Genomic DNA, 19,471 nt, shown 5'->3' on the forward strand with positions numbered 1-19,471 from the left:
ATACAATTAAGAAGTATGAGTGAGAAATCCTGCAGGGGTAGAAATGGTAACAGTTAGGATGTGGAGAGGACCCTATATCCTACAGAAGGCCAAAGAACATTAGAGGAAACAGAAAAGGAACTCACTTATAGGTCTAATAGTTCCAGTTAAAATATGGAAAAAACAAAATAGAACTAATGAGAAAATACTGTTTGCATTTAAATTCTTCCTGGGAAAACATCACAAATGTAGACACCAGGAGCAAAATTTCCACTTCAGTGGAGGAACAAATTAAGTTTATAAATGCTTCTTTCTTCATCTTGGAGGATCCCGGTTACTGGTGGAATCTGCCAGCTGGAACTGTGGAGACGCACATTTGGTCAGGCAGCGTTCCTTCCCCTTTCCCCACGGGTGTCCTGCTTGTATCTCAGGAGATTACACAGGCCATTGCCTGTCTTCCAGCTGGCTAATTTGAACTTGCTTAGCTAGAATCTATAGCCTCATCTGAAGGAGACAGTGGGAATTGCTGTCTCTGTAGTGATTTTGGCCCTTATTCAACAGAGTAACTTGGCCTGCCATGTAAAAGGGAATAGAAACTGCTAGGTTGACTTAAGACATTTATAGGTATGAGTGTTGGGCAAAGGAATTGAGACACTAGACCCACATACTTGTTAATAATGCAGTAACAGTCTTCTTCTTTATGACCACACACACACATACACATACACACACACACACCCCACCACACCTCTCTACACCTCATAGGCTATAAGTGATTCTCTCACCTTGGCCTCCCAAAGTGCTGGGATTACATGTATGAGCCACTGTGCTTGGCCTAATATGTGCTTTTATGATACCTACCCAGTATTTGCTCTCAAAGTTTGACTTGATTATTTTAATAATGTTCCATTTGTGTAAATACTCCAAGAGGAGTAGACACAGGATGTGATATACCATGAGCTTTAATTATCAAATCACTTTTTTTCTCCTTCCTTCAGAGTTAGTCCTGTCTCAGGGGCTCAAGCTCTGAACATCCTCAAAAATGAAGGATAGAAATGTGTTAAGAAGTGAATGAAACCCTGATGAGTTTCATCTTTCTTGTCTTTGGCTTTAAGGTCACTCTTGGTGTGGGGAATCTGCAGGGCTGGAAAAGCTGGTTAAATTTGGACCAAGTGCATTCATCTTTTTATTTCCTCTCTCAGGGCAGAGAATTAAAATCCTGTAGAGCAATGGTTCTTAAACGTTGGTATGCACGCAAATCACCTGGGAATCTTATTAAAATGCAGAGTCTGATTTAGTAGGTCGGGGTGGGCAATAGGCTGAGACTCTGCATATCTAAAACTCCAGGGTGACGTTGATGCAGGCCCTTGGACCCACTTTAAGCATCAAGGCCATAAAGGGCTGGCAAAATCTCAGATCATATAAAAGTCATTGTTTCCATTTACCATTTTTTTTCCTTTTTAAATCAACTTCCTCTCACTTATTCCTTATTCTCTATTCCCAACCAGTGCTTCTTCCAGAGATATATGCTACAGTTTCATTTAAAATTCTATCTGGATACTTATTTCAGATTTATTCTTTGTTCATAACAGGGGATATACATCCCACACAAACATCAGTGACAGTCTGGGATCCTCGGTCAGTGAGCTGGGACTCACTGCATGTCACTGAAATTTTCTTGGCGGGTCTTAAGTAGAATGGCCACCATCAAGCCTCTTTCTTTGAGTGTTACTGGGTTTTCTCACAGGGGAATCTTTCTTCCTTTCACTTGACCATTTTTTGTTCTTCACTCTTTTCCCTTTGCTGTTGAATCTCAAGATTTCGGAAAAGTTAAAGGCAATAGTACTTTCTTACAGAGGCACCCCAGTTTATTAAGATAAGAATAGGGAATAAACAAGGGGAAAGGAATGGACAATTTGTGAAAGAAATAAAAAAATCTAGGAATATGAGTGTCTTACATATTCTAACAGTTTAGTAAAGCAAAGCACATGAGAATTAAAGGGCAGAAAAAGAACTTACTCATGGCTCCTGCAGTTCTGGCTAAAATACAAACAAAAAAGGTGAGTTTGAAGAGAGCATGACTCAAGGGTGTTTATCTCAGGGAGTTTCAGATCAAGCATTTACTACATATTTGATTTACATGGAAAGGCAGCAAGAAGGTAAGTAGGCATTTTCCTTTTTTCCTTAGGAGACTGTTAAAATCATACTCCCTGCAGTTATTTTTCTTATTCTTCATTTTCATTATCTTCCTGCTGTCAAATCCTTCTAAAGTTATAGATAATTTTCCCTGGCCCCAGAATCTTTTTCACAATTTCATTAATTAATCTAGTTTTTATTATAAGAATTTCCACTTTGTTAAATGAAAAAATTAATCAGTCACTTAGAGGATCTTGAAATCAGTCTCAAATTCCTCACACTGGTAAAAGAGAGAACAGTAAAATTGCAAGTTTTTCTCCTTTCCTCCATCTTTATGTGCTTTCTCACCACCTTCCCCATTCCTCTGGTAGCAGGCACATTATAGAATATCAAAATCATTACACATGGTATGCATGTATCAAAATATCACATGTATCCCATAAATTTGTACAATTATTAGGTGTCAGTAAAAAAAGGACTGAGTTGTATATATGGGAAACTTACAAGGAGGTTCTTCAGTTGTTTGTAAACATTTTATACTACCTATAATAAAAATTGAAAAGTGTAACATTATTTAGATTTAGACTTTCAGAAGGCATGGAGATAGACAATCCCATTCCCTCCTCCCCCTCCTCAGGTGTGGTACAAACAGTCTTGAGGTTAAAGAGCTGAGTCCGACTTTTGCTATTCTCTAGCTCTGTGATTTTGGGCAAGTCACTAAATGTTTTGAACATTAATTTCCTCATCTCTAAAACAGAAGTTGTGTCCTCTGTCTTACCTATATTGTGAAGTTGCAGTGAAAAATCAGGAGTAATAACAGAAGGGAAAGATGAAAAGTTGTATTAGAAATGTTATGGAAAGAAATATTCAGTAACTATAAATGAATGAAACACTTCGGCAAAGTAGTAAGCTACTTTATATTTTACTTTTTTCTGCTTTAATTTTTCCTCTTATTTCTGACTGTCCTTTGGAAAGTTCTGAGTCCTGACAGCAGAGTATTATAATGTGCACTTAATTCTGTTTTTATTTTTGATTTATTAATTTCTGTTATTTTAATCTTTAAAACAACCCTATCTTCTTGTGTACCTTAGTACCTTAATTATGTCATTTTAATCTCTGTTGCTTCTGTCTTGAGAAATAACCAATCATATTTTAAGATGTTGAAAATTTTGCAATTTTTTTTCTTAAAATAATTGAATAATTTGTTTCCTTCTTTGTGTATAATTATTTTTCGCTTATTTGTTACTTTGCTGTTTTGGGGAGGGAAATAGTAGCTTTCCCCAGAAATGACAGGATCTACCCTCAGCATTTGGGAAGAGATGTCTGTTTTTCTATGTGGTATTTTAGGCCGTCAATCACTGAACTGTCAGTTTCTTGAGAAGGTGAAGCCACTCCTACCACCAAATAAAGATAATTTTAAAAGGACAGTTTTCATATACTTAATTTTTTAAGATTTAAGATATTAACCTATGTTAGGAGTGACAAGTATACTTGAGTTATGCATATTTAATTTTGATCAATTATTAATGACTATCTGGAGATGACAAGAATTTTAGGATACATGTGAGCTGAGCAGGAAAGAGAATCATGATAAATTACTGATTTCTGCCACAGGCAAAGGCATGAGCAGAAATGTAACACAGGTCATATATATTCCATTCCTGACCTAAAGTAATATGGAATAATGAGGAGAAAGGAATTTTTCTTTCTTTTTTTTTTTGAGACAATCTCTCTCTGTCACCCAGACTGGAGTGCAGTGGCACAGTCTCGGCTCACTGCAACCTTCACCTCCTGGGTTGAAGTCATTCTTGTGCCTCAGCCTCCTGAGTAGCTGGGATTACAGGCATGTGCCACCACGCCCAGCTAATTTTTGTATTTTTAGTAGAGATGGGGTTTCGCCATGTTGGCCAGGCTGGTCTCAAACTCCTGGCCTTGAGTGATCCCCTCACCTCGGCCTCCCAAAGTGCTGGGATTACAGGTGTGAGCCTCCATACTGGGCCAAGAAAGGAAATTCTTGAACTGAGTATTTTGTGGCGTTTCCCAGCTGAAGACAAATAAGCAGGGCAGTGGAAGGTATTTACTTGTTGCCTTACAGAGTAAAGAAGAAGATAAAAAAAACTTACGATGTACATATCCTGCCAAAATACTGAATATTGTGTGTTTTGGATTAAGGACATTGTCTCTGTGGATATTCTTCCTAATGGGAGCATCAGAGTTAGTTCTTTTAGAGAGTACCACATTTTCCATACCAGACAGAATTCCTGATTATCTCTGTGGGGATCGATCACAAACTCAGTTGCATTAAGGGGCCCAGCAGGTCTCATGATTGTGAATCTGCTAGTTATAAGGGATAGAGATGGTGAAAAGTCCATGCCCTACCCAGAGGCATTCAAATTCAAAATTTAAAGTAATACCATCCTGACCAAACAAAACACATCTATAGGTGGCACCGGGCTAGTGGTGGCTAATTTGGGAGCTCTGTTTTCAGATGAGAAGAGATTTAAGTGAGCACCATCTATACTTCAACAACAGTGCACTTTGAAATCAGTATCATATGGTTGTGGCCTGAGTTGGGATAGGGCAAGTGAATCCCTTCCTTTTCGTTACTTTAAGGATAGGTATTGGTTGGATCACATTTAATTAAAACCTGTGAGTAATAAACTTGTTCAGATTGTGAAGCATCTGGAAGTTTTGATACCTTTTAGAAAAAATAATGAAATATGATATATTTAATTCCATCTTTGAACAAGAAACAACTTTGCTAGTAGGAAATGTGACCCTAATATGCAACCACAAATGTAATAGTCAGTATGAAAACTTTTGTAGGAAAAGCACATAGATCAGAAAAAAAACCCTGTCCAGTCAGGATTATCTGTTTTGGATTTTTTGCCGATTTCCTCACTTCCCTCCTCCTCATTCCTGTCACAGTCTTCCCTTCATTTAGAAAATGTGTTCTTTTTTTTTTTTTTTGACAATCAATTGAAATCAGTTCCAGAAGGTTTATTTAAACTTTACCTCTTTGGTTTTCCTCCCTTCTCCATTCATTTTTTCCAGCTTCCCTCACTTCTCTGTTCTTTTTTTTTTTTTGAGATGGAGTCTCACTCTGTCACCCAGGTTGGATGGCAGTGTTGCGATCCTGGCTCACTGCAACCTCCTCTCCCAGGTTCAAGCAATTCTCCTGCCTCAGCCTCCCGAGTAGCTGGAATTACAGGAGCATACCACCACGCCCAGCTAATTTTGTATTTTTGGTAGAGACGGGGTTTCAGCAGGCTGGTCTCGAACTCCTGACCTCAGGTGATCCACCTGCCTCAGCCTCCTAAAGTGTCATGATTACGGGCATGAGCCATGGTGCCCAGCCTCTTCTCTGTTCTTTTATTTGATTAATTTTCAACTGGTTGTTGAAATTAGTTATGTAACGGACTTGAAATTTTAATGAGAGATTAAATAACTTGCCTATGTTCAAATAAATAGTAAGTAGGGAGCTGGGATACAACTCCAGTTAGCCTGGCTCTAGAGTCTGCATACTTAACTGCTAGGCAATACTCCTCTGTAAATTGAAAATAATTAACAAGCAAATTTATTTTAAAAGTGATTTTTTAGTAGGTCTTATTATATTATTCTCAATTCATGGAGAAATAGTGTATAGTTCAGATACGAAGTGAGCAATAACTTTTTCCTAAGCCTACAGTCAGAGTGTACAGCATAATTTCCTCCCTTGAAGGTAGGCTGTGATTAGAGAGGGACATAGTCAAGGGAGGATCTGTTTAAGATGGAAGAAAATCAAACCTGTTCTATACCTTAAGGAGAAGCAGTTAAAGGAAGGAAAATATTTAAAGATGTAGAAGAGAGAAGAAATGACTTCTGAAGAAATAAGGGGGTGAGAGGATGTGGTCAAAGGCAAGAATAAAATAATTTGCTTAAGCAAGGTGGGAGGTCTCATTGTCTTAGAGAGGGGGAAATGTGAGAAAGGTGGGCATGATCCAGTTAAGATGGCTAATGAAGGACAAGGTGGAGAATTATGAGTCTTAAGCCCTTTCACCCTGACATAGCAGGAAACAGGAAATAGTTAAGACAGGGAGAAGTCCTCTGCCTAGCATAGGAGCCCAACAACACCAGAGTTTGAAACAAGAAGATAAACTTACTCATGGATCCTTGAGGTAAAGCTAAAGAACAATAACAATTATTCAAGTCAGTCTAAAGTTTCAATAATCCATCAATTTCCCAAAAGTCTTCCCAGAAATAGTGTCCTCCCTCAGGTTATTAGACTTTCCATTCCCCTGTAGGTAGGCTCATAAAGTGGCCACACTTGCAAGTGATCCCATGTCTTTTCCCCCTTAGACACTATGCAGGAGTGAAAGTTTCAGGGGAATATTCAGCTTTACTATATTTCCAATATTCTGATTTCATTCACCACCTTTCTCCTGTCTTTTCCGTTTCTCCCTCCCTCTTTCTTTCATCTTTTCAGTTTGGAGAGTCTTCTTTCCCTAATGTGATAGCCTCAAGAACCAAAGAAAGGCAATGTTACAAAGGTTCTAGTTTTATAAGAAAAGAAAACCGAGATTGAGAAAGGGAAGGGCTGTGCCTGAGTATGCAAAAAATTAAAGGCAGTTTTAGCTTCCAGTTTGCTTGACTTTAAGTTCAGCACGTTTTCCTTCATATTCTTTACAATTTTCTCTTCTTTCTGAATATTCCTTAAACATTTTTTTCTTTAACGTACTGACCATCTTCCCTCTCCAACATTTTGTTTCTGTTCTTTTTGTTCAGCTCTAAAATGTTTCTCTTGTAAAATAACCTAAATTCTAGGGCAAGACTTGTAGAAGGTTTAATGATATTAACTTTGATAGTAATTTGTACAAGCTACCATAGAATGAACCCTCACTATATTCAGTGGAGAAAGTCTGGGCATTAGTCTTATTTGTCTTACATTGACTGTTAAATGACTATGCAAAGTTTGATAATTCTCACCATCTTTTGGAACTGCATTTATTTAATTTAATTTATTTATTTATTTTATTTTATTATTATTGTACTTTAAGTTTTAGGGTACATGTGCACAATGTGCAGGTTAGTTACATATGTATACATGTGCCATGCTGGTGTGCTGCATCCATTAACTCGTCATTTAGCATTAGGTATATTTCCTAATGCTATCCCTCCCCCCTCCCCCCACCCCCCACCCTCCACCCCACAACAGTCGATCAATGACAGGATTTAATAATTTTTCTTCTGCTCAACTTTTATGATTCAATGAGGCTAAATTCACAAACTAAAGCCCTGTGTTCTTGGGCCTTTTAGCCTTAGGGTAAGTTTTGGTAGGAGAAGCAAAAAGGCTGACTTTCTAGAAATAGGGCCTGCCTAGAAAGAGGTAAATAAGGAGGACAAGGTCCCTAGACAAACAAGCGTTTATGGTACTGAAACAACCAAGAACTTGCTCAATTCCCTTGTAAATTGTGCTAGATACCCACATCTCTAAGTGCACGCCAATTGCTTAAAAGCATCAGCGTTAATCCCCCTTTGAAAAGAAGATCAGAAAAAAAATCCCTCACACTACCCTCACCAGGGAGCATCAAATCCTCTATGCCAGCTGTAGTGTGATTTTTTCATGGATTGTTTAGGCATCTTATATTTTGGTGGTGTGGCCGAGGCCCAGAATGACATGTAGGACTGATGATGAGCAGAGAAGGTGATTCCCTTTTCCTTTTCTTCTCAGCCTTTGTAAAGACTGAAACTGTTAAGGAAACTTGGAAGACCTTAGGTTTTTTTTTTGGGGCTGGGGTGGGGGGGACAGGGTTTCACTCTGTTGCCCAGGTTGAAGTTCAGTGGTTGCATAGCTCACTATAACCTCTCACTACTGGGCTCAAGTGATCCTCCCAACTCAGCCTCCCATGTAGCTAGGACTACAGGCATGCCACCATGCCCTACTAATTCTTTTAATTGTTCTGTAGAGACAGAGCCTCACTATGTTGTCCAGGCTGGTCTTGAGTTCCTGGCCTCCAGGATCCTCCTACTTCGGCCTCCCAAAGTGCTGGGATTACAGGTGTAAGCCACCATGCTTGGCCCTTAGTCTTTTTTTTTTTTTTTCTTTTTCCTCTACTTGCTTTTAGGAGGTGGAGGACCTTAGTCTTGATTAAACTTTCCTTAGTTTCCCTATGTGCTCCCTTCTTATTATCTGTTTGCTCTCATTTCTCTTTCCTAAATTGAGAAATAGAAAATAAACTGAAATATGGTTCCTGGAATTGGCACTGAGGAATAATAATAAAAATCCACATCAGTCTGAGTTAATTGGTTTATAAAGTATATAATTCTCACCGAAATCATTTTAGAAAGGGGACCCTTGATTAGGTCTCATTAAGTACAATGGGCCATCAACTACTAGAATGCTTGGGTTTGAATTCTGGTTCCTCTACTTACTAGCTGTGTTACTCTGCCTGTTTTTTTTTTTATGCCTAAGTTTATTCATTTTAAAAATAGGATTTATAATATCTACTTTCTAGGATTATTATGAAGAAAAAATGTTTAGGACAGAGCCTGGAGCATAATGCTCAACACATATTATTATATCATCATTTCAGATTGCAGTCCTTATCTGTTTATACATGTATGGGTAATGGACCATAGTCTCCTCTATCTTGGGCACTACGCTAGTTCAAGATTTTCAAGGAAATAATAGGATCAAGTCCTTTGAGGTCCTGGTTTGAGAGGCCCTTTCTCGAGTTATCACAGTCCAGTGAATTGCCTATGAGAATTATCTCTCAAGAGGGCCTCATCCATTCTGTAGGAGCACACGTCATCTTGAGCTTCAGGGATGAATAGCTTCCTGTGGCCCTATGCATCTTTCAGCTAAATACTCTACATAACTAATTACTCATCATCCTTTGAGATTAATCCCAAAATGTGTCATATCCTCATTTTTTTTTTTTTTTTTTTTTTGAGACGGAGTCTCGCTCTGTCGCCCAGGCCGGACTGCGGACTGCAGTGGCGCAATCTCGGCTCACTGCAAGCTCCGCTTCCCGGGTTCACGCCATTCTCCTGCCTCAGCCTCCCGAGTAGCTGGGACTACAGGTGCCCGCCACAGCGCTCGGCTAATTTTTTTGTATTTTTAGTAGAGACGGGGTTTCACCTTGTTAGCCAGGATGGTCTCGATCTCCTGACCTCATGATCCACCCGCCTCGGCCTCCCAAAGTGCTGGGATTACAGGCGTGAGCCACCGCGCCCGGCCGTCATATCCTCATTTAATTTACTCACCATCCAAAGACAATTCCTCATCTTAAGGATGCTTATTATCATAATGCTTTTTATAATTCCTAATCGGACGTTCCTTCCACCTCTCCTTACTCCCTAAAACACACCATGCTGTCTGAAATTCATATCAGCAAATTTTCCTGTATCTTTAACTTCTCCAAACGTTTTCTTCACCGTCTTGCTTTAATATTCCTGTCTTTTAAAATACTGTATCTCAAGCCTGGGTGCGGTGTCTCATGCCTGTAACCCCAGCAATTTGGGAAGCCGGGGAGGGCAAATCACTTGAGGCCAGGAGTTCAAGACCAGCCTGGGCAAGATGGCAAAACCCTGTCTCTACTAAAAATACAAAAATTAGCTGGGTATTGTGGTGCACGCCTGTAATCCCAGCTGCTTGGGTGGCTGAGGCACAAGAATCGCTTGAACCCGGGAGGTGGAGTTGCAGCGAGCCGAGGTTGCACCCTGCACTCCAGCCTGGGTAACGGAGTGAGATTCTATCTCAATTTTTTAAAAAAATACTGTATCTCAGATGTTGCTCAAAGCATACAAAATTGCAGTTAGATGGGAGGAATACTTTCAGGAGATCTATTGTATAACATGGTGATCGTAGTTAATAATGTGTTATATTTGACATTTGCTAAGAGAGTAGATTTTAAGTGTTCTTACCACAAAAAGTATGTGAGGAAATGGATATGTTAACAGCTTGATTTAGTCATTCTACAATGTATACATATATCAACACATTATGTTGTATACCATAAATATATACAATTTTGTCAATTAAAAATTATAACATTTTTAAAAAACCATGTCTCTTACAGCCCTCTTAGATTTTTTTTTTTTTTTTGAGACAGGGTCTCACTCTGTCACCCAGGCTGGAGTGCAGTGGCGTAATCACAATTCACTGTAGCCTTGACCTCTTGGGCTCAAGTGATCCTCCCACCTCAGCCTTCCAAGTAGCTGGGACCACAGGTGCACACCACCATGCCAGCTAATTTTTTATTCATTGTAGAGACAGGGTCTCACTCTGTTGTTGAGGCTGTGATGTCTGGTTTTTTGTATGTTTGTTTTAGAAAAAATCCATACCCATATACATGCCTGAATGTAGGTAAATGTCATTTTTGCTCCCCATTGCTGTTTCCGAACAGTCTTCTCCAGTAGAAACTCCTGTTGTCTTTGAAGCACATATGAGACTTTACTCTGTACCTCTCTCCTTCTTGCCATCATAAATAAATATGATGGTCATTCTCTCCCATTTCATTCTCTACCAGAAGCCAGGGTTGCCTTTTTAAAGCATAAATGTGGCTTTATCCCTTCCCTGATGAAAACAATGGCTTATTGTGGTGCTCAGAATTGTTCTCCATATTTTATTCTAAAAGACTTTTTGTAATCTGGACTCTCCCTACCTTTCAAACTCCTCCACGATCTTTCACAACTGGCCTTCCTGCAATCTCTCATACATGCTACTCTTCTTCCCCTCTCAGGAACTTGGTGTTCTTTCTGCCTGAGATACTCTTCCCTAAGATCCTCCTGTGGCTGCCAGCTTTTCGCCATTCAGAGTCAGTTCAGATATCTCCTCAGGGAAATTTCTTCTAATCTCCTAGCTAAAGGCCCTTACTTCTTGGTCTTGCTCTATCATATTATCTTAATTTGTTTTCTCCGTAGAATTTACTATGATAGTCTAGTAATCATAGTAGGAATTATCTAGAAAGGGAAATCATTGTATTTGTTTGCTTATGTGTTTATTTTCTGTCTTACCTCACTAGAATCTATGCTGTCTGTGAAATACTTATGTTGTCTTAGGTATAGCAGCTGCAGTGCTCTAAATGATTTCCCCTTTGGAGGGTTTTTATGGCAAGCCTGCCTCACATGGGTCCTCTGCAGATTTTGCTGAAGAAACTGAATATTTGAGTTTATTGTTTAGCATGTTTCAACTCCCAAATATTTTACCCTTTCCATAAGTTAGATGCAAACAAAGTAAAACTAGATAAAACATGTTTTAATTATAAAAGTAATAAAATATTGAGCTTGATAGCTTTCTAAGGGCACCTGTTCACAGTTGTATATACAACAAAACAGCCTTATTCATGGGATAAGGTTATGGCACAGTATTGGATTAGCACACTAAGTCTGATATTTTATATTAATTTACATTTTAAGATTTTCAAATTACATTTTAAAAATTGAAGTAATATATTTTTAACATATGCATGATTTTCTAAATTCCTTGGAACAAACATTTTATTTCCAAAGAATACTTTGGATTGGAAGAGTAAACACATTTAATGATGTCCTGGGGGTAGTTGGACAACCTCAGGACTTGGAGTCCAAAGGCCAGTGTTTAGAACCTCAGTTTTACTCTTTTGCTAGCTATATGCCTTGGGTCAAGTTAAATAATATCTTTAAATTTCATTTTTTCCTCATGTGTAATATCTGTAAATAGTCAAGAAAGATGACTTGCTTTAATTACAAACCTCTCCTTGTCCCCTACTCCCATTCCCTGATCTCTTCACAAGCCTCTCTCTTCTTCCCTCCTATTCCTAAGTTAATGAATTTATTACTGTTTTGCTGAAACTATGATTGCCAGCTAAAACCATTTTAATCCTCTCTTTATTCTTTAATCGGTGGACTTCTCATTCTTCGAAGTTCTCATTAATTTTAGACAAAATGCTCAATGATGGGGAAGGAAAAGGAGGTGAGGGACAAAATCTCAGCAGGGTTAGGGAATGTTCCTTAGTTCTGTGACACACTAAAGAGACTTAGAATTTGGAAATATGAAATTTCCCTCCTTGCTCTCCTAAAAGTAAATATAAACAAAAAATTCATGTGGTTGTCTGGCTCAAAAACTATCCATTTCTTTCTTTTTTTTTTTTTTTTTGCAGGGGACAGGGCAGGAATGAGTATCAGAACCAGGAACGCCTGGGAGCACCAAACCCTTAGTGTCAGTTGCAGCTCAGGGGGATAGGGAATTAGCCATCTCTTCCATTGCTGCCAGCCTGACTTGGGGATGCCTCAGGGAAGGCTGCCCTTTCGTGCTAGCCATGTAAAGCTTTAAAATTCTGAGGACACAGCTAATATCATTTATCCCTCATTCTATATTATCTTCATCCTCATCTTATTTTTCTTACTAACTTTTTGCTCTTATCCTTTATTTACTCTGTTTTTCCAACACTTCAGGTTTGGAAATTGCTCTCTTCATGTCATCATAATAAACCACTAGAAACTTGCATTTACTTTTGACTGATTATTGAAGTGTCTGGTTATGGAGAACAAAGAAATTGGAGAAATGTGAAGCTTAAGCTTCTGCTGTGCTGCAGCGAAGAAGTCTGGGAAGTTTAGGAAGATATCCTCTTGATTAAATGGGGCTAAATGTCAGCAGAATTGAAGAAAAGTAAAGGAACTTACCAATACTTGATCGAGACAGTGCTAAAATAAAACACATCAAAAGAAGAATGAGTTCTGTTTGTCCCAGGGAGAACTTAGATGCCATAGACACTATATTGCAGAAAGGTTGTGGAAAAGAGGATAGAAATGAGTCACAACTTATTTCCTGGTATCAATTGCAATGCAATGTGGTGAGCAGCTGGATATCTACATATGGATTCCAATACTTTTGTGGTAAGGTGGGACTACAAGATCTATGCAACCTGTCTTTCAATTTTGGTAAGAGAATAAAAATATTTTTGGAGATTGCTAGTTTCTCAATCTGAGGACATTTTTCTGTCCCTATAAGTCTTCTTTCATTGGTGATTCTGCTGCTCTGTTCTTTCCTTCTCTACCTTTCCTCCACCTCTTCCTCTCTCTCCTTAATTTTCTTTCTGTTTTCCCTTTGTTCGAAAAGATTTTTTGTTACACCAAACAATTACCACCTAACTGCTTCAACAGGGGTTTCCACTTTCCAAAATTCACTTGTGCCCTATGGAGATGAAGAATAGCAAGAGACCAAATCAGGAAGTTCTTGAATAATATTAGAAGCTAAAGAGTCAAAGTAGTGAAAGTATTTAGAACCTCGGGGCTTACTGAAAGGGTGCTTGCTATTGAGGGGAATATTTCATCCTCTCCTTTAAGTGATTACTTTGAACATGGTATTTTTTAAAGTTTATAAAGTAGAGCTGAGCTTGAAAACTAAAAAGAGAAGTAATATATTCAAGAAAAATATATCAAGAAGGAACCCATATTCTTGGTAATGAATGAGAAGTTTTACCACCCATGTGATACCTTATTGGGGGACTGAGGCTTAAACACCTGATCACCAGCAGAAATCAAGGCCATAGGCCTCATGCATTGTAAGAACCTGGGATTATCTTCCTGTTTAATATGTTAGGTTACATGGAAAAAGGGAATTAATATTGCAGATGAAGTTAAAGTTGCTAATCAGCTGACCTTAAAATAGGATGATGATTTTGGTATATCTGAGTGGGCCTAATATAATCACAAAGATTTTTAAGAGTGGGAGAGGGAGATAAAAGAGAGTAAGAGAAAGAGGTACTACAGTGGAGGAAGGGCAGAATGGTGTGATGTGAGGACTTGATTCATTTTTGTTCACTTTGAAGATAGAAGAAGGGAGCCATGAACCAAGGAATGTGGCCAGCCTCTAGAAGCTGAAAAAGCAAGGAAACAGATTTGTTCCTAGAACCTCCAGAAAGAATGCAGTCTTGCTGACAACCTGATTGTTGTCCAGGGAGACATATATGACAGATTTATAACCTATGGAACTGATAGATAATAAATTTGTGTTGTTTTAAGCCATTAAGTTTGTGGTAATTTGTTAGAGCAGCTATAGAAAACTAATACAACGTGGTTGACTATTTCCCCAAAATTCCCTTGTAGTTAGGTGTGGCTATATGCTTGAGTTCTAGCCAATCTAATGTTGTTAGAAGTGATATGAAAGTCATCCAGGCTTGTTTGTAAAGTCATCCACTCATGATCTTCAAGCTTTTTTCTTTCTGTTCACTTAAGGTGGACTAACATGATGAACTTAGGAGCCATTATTTGAAGATGGTGGAGTCATTAGTTAAGATGAATTTGAGTGCCTAAGACACTGCTGAGAGAAGGGCCATCCGCCAATCTGGAATTCCTGTTTTGGACTTCTCATAAGTAAGAAATAAAATTCTATTAGGGAAAACCACTGAGATTTTAAGATCCGGGGCTAACTTAATCAGTGCAGATAAGAAATATAAAAGAGAAGTCACAAGATCTGAAAGATGGAAGGAAAATCTTTACATACATAGTAATTTTAGAAGTAGAGACTACAGTTTGTTGTTAGATATAGATACAAATATGGGCAAAATTCATAGCAATTAAAGTTAAATTTTTCTGTAATTAGAAAGATTGAGTCCACAGAATGGAAACTCTTGAATGTTTATGAGTGTGAGATTAACTTCATTTATCCTGCTCAGAGTAAATGGAAGCATTCAGGATTTTCCATTGTGGGTGTGAGATTCACTTCATTTATCCTGCTCAGGATAACCTCACACTCATAAAAAGTTAATCTCACACCTATAAACATTATAATTAAATGCAGAGCACAAAAATAAAGAGAATCTTGAAAATATATTTACTTAGGAACAAACATCAAACTAGTGATAGATTCTTATCAACAATAATAAATAATAAACAACAAGCAAATGGAATAAATCTTCAAAGTACAGAGGGAAAATAATGTTCAATTCTATACCTAGCTAAATTTTCATTTAAGGCTGAAGGTGAAGTAAAGCTATTTTCAGCCATATGAAGGCTTAGAAAATTTTTCACATACATGTAGAGTTTAAAGAACCAGTAAAGGATTGTATTTGGGCAAGAAATAGAAGAGAAAAGACACAGGATGTAGCAAATAATGTTAAGCAAAAACAATGCTGAAATATTGTTGTAAGTCTAAGTAATAATTAATTGTGAAAATAAATAATTATTTTGTCTTTAAAAAGAATACCACAAACAAGATGGAGAATTTGGAAAGAGTAGTTTGGAGGGAAGATGGTCAAATAAAAGTTATTATCTAGTCTTGGAAGAAGATACCGATTATCTTTAATTTTTAAAGAAAAGTTAAATAGTACACATGTTACAAATATCAGGATACATAAAACAAAATCCAGAAAAACACTAAGTAAAACAAAAGAAACAAGGAATTCTAATATACCAGCAGAAGGTAGAAAAGAAGATTTAAAAATGAAAGAACAGAGCATAGTACTGTAAGTTGAAAACACAATATAAATTGGAAACATTTAGATAAACATATAACAATTCACAATATAAAATGAACTAAATTCATCTATTAGGAAACAGAAAATTTTACATTGTTAATATGAACAAAGTCAAGCAATATGCCATTTAAAAAAGACACAAGACAAAAACAAACTTTTAAGGTTCAAAATAAAAGGATGAAAAATAGGCAAATACTAATTAAAACAAAGGTGTTAGAACAATGCTAATATCAGAGTGTAGAATTGAAGTAAAAAAATAGTCATGAGGATATGAGTGGATATGAGGATATGAGTTTCAGCAGCATTTAGAAGTTACTTAGATACTTATATTAGAAAATAAGAGCGCCCACTTTGGCAGCATATATACTAAAATTGGAATGATACAGAGAAGATTAGCGTGGCCCGTGTGTAAGGATGGCATGAAAATTCATGGTGTCCCATATAAAAATAAAATAAAAAAAGAAGATGAGAAAGTCTGGAAATTGATTAAGAGTTTCATACAGCAAGCTAGAAAAAGGAACAAAAATAAAGCAAAAGTAAAGAGAAGGAATTTTACCCATAGATATACATAGCCCAAGCTATGACAAGAAAATGGTTTTAAGAATTGGAAAAGGAAACTCAAGATTATCAGATTTTGCAGATGACATGATTTTTTACATATAGAATTCAAAAGAATCTGAAAATTATTAGAACTCTAAGAGCACAGCAGGGTGGCTAGATACAAAATCTACTCTCAAATATACAACATATAACTTATATTCCAACAATAATTATTTGTAAAATCCATGTAGAGAGATAGTATTCACATCCGAAACAAAAAACAAGTATGTGTATAAGAATTAATGCAGCAAAAGACATGCAAGACCTTTCTGAAGAAAATTATATTACATTATTGAAGGGTATATGAGAAAATTTGAATAGTAGGCAACCATGTTAATGCATGGGAATAATTGATTTTACCAATTAATCTACAGGCTCAATGAAATTTCAATGAAATCCTAATATGACTCATAGATTTTGAGAAATTATGAAATTCTTGTGTAAGAGAAAAGGTCAAAGAATAGCCAACACATTTCTGAAAAAGAACAAAGATAATGTGCTATTTTTTGTAATAAATGTTATAAAGTTTTAGTAGTGAAAGCAATGGAGTATTGGTTCAGTAAAAGACAAAAGATCACTGGAACAGAAAATAAAATCCACGGAAAAACGAAATATATAAGATGAAGATGGCATTACAAATCAGCAGAGAAAGAATGCACCAGTCAATAAATCTAGTTGGAACAAGATGAGACGAAATCCCTCTAGTTGGTTTTCCAGATGAAAGGAAAATTAGATCTCACCTGTATTATTACTAAAATCACTCACCAAAACCAAAAAACAATTAACAAAGCCCCATTTGGATTAAAGTTCTATATGTAGAAAGGGAAATTTCAAAACTATTAAGAGAAAGTATTAGATAAAATCTTTGTGATACCCAGATAAGGCCAAAGAAACTAAAAAGCAGAAACTCTAAAAGAAAACAAGAGATTGACAAATTTTATTACAATAAATTGTGTGGTGTTGGGGGAGAGTGAGTAGAGGCCTTCTAAAAGTCAAGAGACAGCATAAAAATTTAAAGCTAAGAGACAGAATTGGATGAGATAATTGCAGATATTTAACATAACATATAAAAGTTGATCTTTCATAATAATAAAGAATTACTACAGATCAATAACTAATAGATAAATGGGTAAAGTAAATGAACAAGCAATTTATATAGGGTGAAGCCTCACTAGCTAGTAAGCCTATGAGAAGATACTCAATTTCAGGAGTGAGCAGGGAATGCAGATTTTAAAAATTGTATACGTATTCAAGTGGCAATAATAGAAAAATATGACAAAATCTGGGATTGTTACTAATGCAGAGAAATTGGAAATATTTATTTATTTTTGTATGCCTCTATGTAACTACCAAGGAGCTTAATTAATAGCTACTAAAATTTAAAATATGCATAAATTACATAAATGCTCATATACAATGTGAACACTAATCCTACTTCAGGGTATGTACCCCGGATAAACTCTTTTCCATCTACTTAAGGACTGTCTTTGCAGCATTATTTGTGATAGCAGAAATTGGAAATATTGAGAATGCATCGGTAGTAGAAATAATAGAAAAACATTGTATATTCATAAGGTGGAATATTATTCAACAAAGTGTATAACCTGGATTTCAAAACTACATTTTGAGAGAAAAATGCAAATCGTAATGATACTATCAGACAGATGCCATTTTAGTAAAATTAAACATTAAAAAAAGATACTATATTTTGTTCAGTGATAGGTAGAGACTATAAATATATGTAAATAGACTTAAATATTTAAAATATATTAATAAGCCTTTGGGAAGAAGGGAGTGGAATATGTCTATGATAACTTGAGAAATATGACAAGAATATTATCAATTTGTCACATCTAAGGTGTGATATACAAGTGTTAATTATTTTTATACTTAATTTTAAAAACTTTCTTAAAAGAGAAAAAATACAGAAAAAATAGGGCTTGCAAACCAGATGACAGTAGAATTGAAAGAAAACCACAAAGCACTTACCTAGAGAGTTGGTTGATGGTGCTAAAATACACACACAGAAAACATGAGGTGAATCATGAGAGTTTGGATCCCTAATCTTTACATATCAGCTTCAGTTGCTGTCACCCCCTTCTCAGGAGTTAAAGTCTAGGCCCCGGGAGTCATCACTGATCTGGTGATGGGTACTGACAGCCACTCCCACCAGCTACTGCATATGCTTTCCATCTCTAAAAATGGGTTTAATTTTTAGTAGGCAGATGCCATTCCTACTGCCCTAATTCCTCCCTCCCTTTTTTCCCTCTCTATTTTCTTCTCTCTCTCCCTTTTATCTTTATTACTTTCCTTTTCTCTTGCTCATCACTTCTATTGTTTTCCTTTTCTCCCAGCCAGATCATTCTAAACCAGCACTAGAAAACTTTATCTATTGCTTAGTATTCATATGACTTGACATATGACAGGATTTCTCTTTCCTCCAAAGCATTTACAATCTAGGGAAATGTTACTAATAGGAAGCAAATTTTTGTTAAGAAGCAAGATAATACTTACTGTAATCTCTTTTGGATCTCTCTGAAAACATAAACAAAAGAAAGAAAAATCAATTTGGATATTCTATTTCTGTAGTTTTGGTATCACTACAGAGGATTACCCAATCAACACCCTCAAATATCCAGTTAGGCAAGAAACTGGAGACAAAATCTCCTCATGGCTTAATTTATAAGTTTAATGACATTAAAAAAACAGGCAGAGTTTAATTAAGGTAAATACATGTAGTGAGAAGAAATAATAAACTATACATGCAAACATTGAAACAGAAGAATGTATAGTTATAAGGTAAGTTGAGGTCAAATAAAAGAAGGAATGGCAAGATATTTACTCAGCTGACTGAGAATTCAAGTTCAGTGACAATATGGCAAATTATAATGAATGCAAATGTGTATATTGATTGCGATTGAATGTGCATCCTATGATCTAAAACTTGTTTCTTAGTGATGTCATGGAAACAGACTTTCTAAAAGATCTGGAGACAAAGCAAATTACATGGAAAACTAGTCATGTTATCACTGTTGTTTTCATAAAAGTGTAAAAGTAAATAGTAATATTGATACTTTGTAGTTGATTTAAATTATGTTGAATCATAATATCATTTGCTATTTCACTAAAGTATAGTTAAAGATATACTCAGAAATGTGAAGACAATAGTATTTTTTTTTCAGCTTCTTTTCTGAAAATGAGTGCTCTCCTTCCATACTTGGCAGTCATTGTGATGGGAATTAAGTACAAAACACATTCTCTGTTTTATAATAATGTTTCTTGTTTCTCATGGTTCTATGGGGATTTTAAAAACGGTG

The 19,471-nt window shown here is 36.5% G+C and overlaps 1 protein-coding gene, 1 long non-coding RNA gene and 1 pseudogene across 8 annotated transcripts in view, besides 1 other annotated feature; 2 read left to right on the forward strand and 1 right to left on the reverse strand.

Annotated features, from left to right (window-relative positions):
• The window catches only part of TSBP1-AS1 (TSBP1 and BTNL2 antisense RNA 1), a 152,558-nt gene that overhangs the window by 81,808 nt on the left and 51,279 nt on the right, over positions 1 to 19,471 (forward strand). The window contains exon 2 of one of the 3 annotated variants that reach the window (NR_136246.1): positions 12,532 to 13,059. The exons of the other annotated variants lie outside the window; for them this stretch is intronic. This is a non-coding gene — a long non-coding RNA (TSBP1 and BTNL2 antisense RNA 1). Of the gene's footprint in view, positions 1 to 12,531; positions 13,060 to 19,471 lie in introns of those variants that run through there. 3 annotated transcript variants of the gene reach the window in all.
• The window catches only part of TSBP1 (testis expressed basic protein 1), a 79,206-nt gene that overhangs the window by 44,283 nt on the left and 15,452 nt on the right, over positions 1 to 19,471 (reverse strand). For 2 of the 5 annotated variants that reach the window (NM_001286475.2, NM_001286474.2), the window contains 6 exons: positions 18,669 to 18,689; positions 18,144 to 18,164; positions 12,760 to 12,780; positions 6,258 to 6,278; positions 2,620 to 2,658; positions 1,999 to 2,019 (listed from right to left, as the gene is read on the reverse strand). In NM_001286475.2, the coding sequence (NP_001273404.1) occupies positions 1,999 to 2,019; positions 2,620 to 2,658; positions 6,258 to 6,278; positions 12,760 to 12,780; positions 18,144 to 18,164; positions 18,669 to 18,689 (144 nt within the window). Of the gene's footprint in view, positions 1 to 1,998; positions 2,020 to 2,619; positions 2,659 to 6,257; positions 6,279 to 12,759; positions 12,850 to 18,143; positions 18,165 to 18,668; positions 18,690 to 19,471 lie in introns of those variants that run through there. The other 3 variants (NM_006781.5, XM_024446307.2, XM_017010182.2) reach the window with 2 other exon arrangements.
• RNU6-603P (RNA, U6 small nuclear 603, pseudogene) lies at positions 15,897 to 16,003 on the forward strand (annotated as a pseudogene).
• Positions 18,078 to 18,278: a silencer, noted in NCBI's record as "peak5755 fragment used in MPRA reporter construct". NCBI's record gives its function as "represses an SCP1 promoter by STARR-seq MPRAs in K562 erythroleukemia cells {active_cell/tissue: K562}" and the evidence as "EXISTENCE:reporter gene assay evidence [ECO:0000049][PMID:32103011]".

Source organism: Homo sapiens, chromosome 6 (assembly GCF_000001405.40).
Source record: "Homo sapiens chromosome 6, GRCh38.p14 Primary Assembly".
Taxonomy (NCBI): domain Eukaryota; kingdom Metazoa; phylum Chordata; class Mammalia; order Primates; family Hominidae; genus Homo; species Homo sapiens.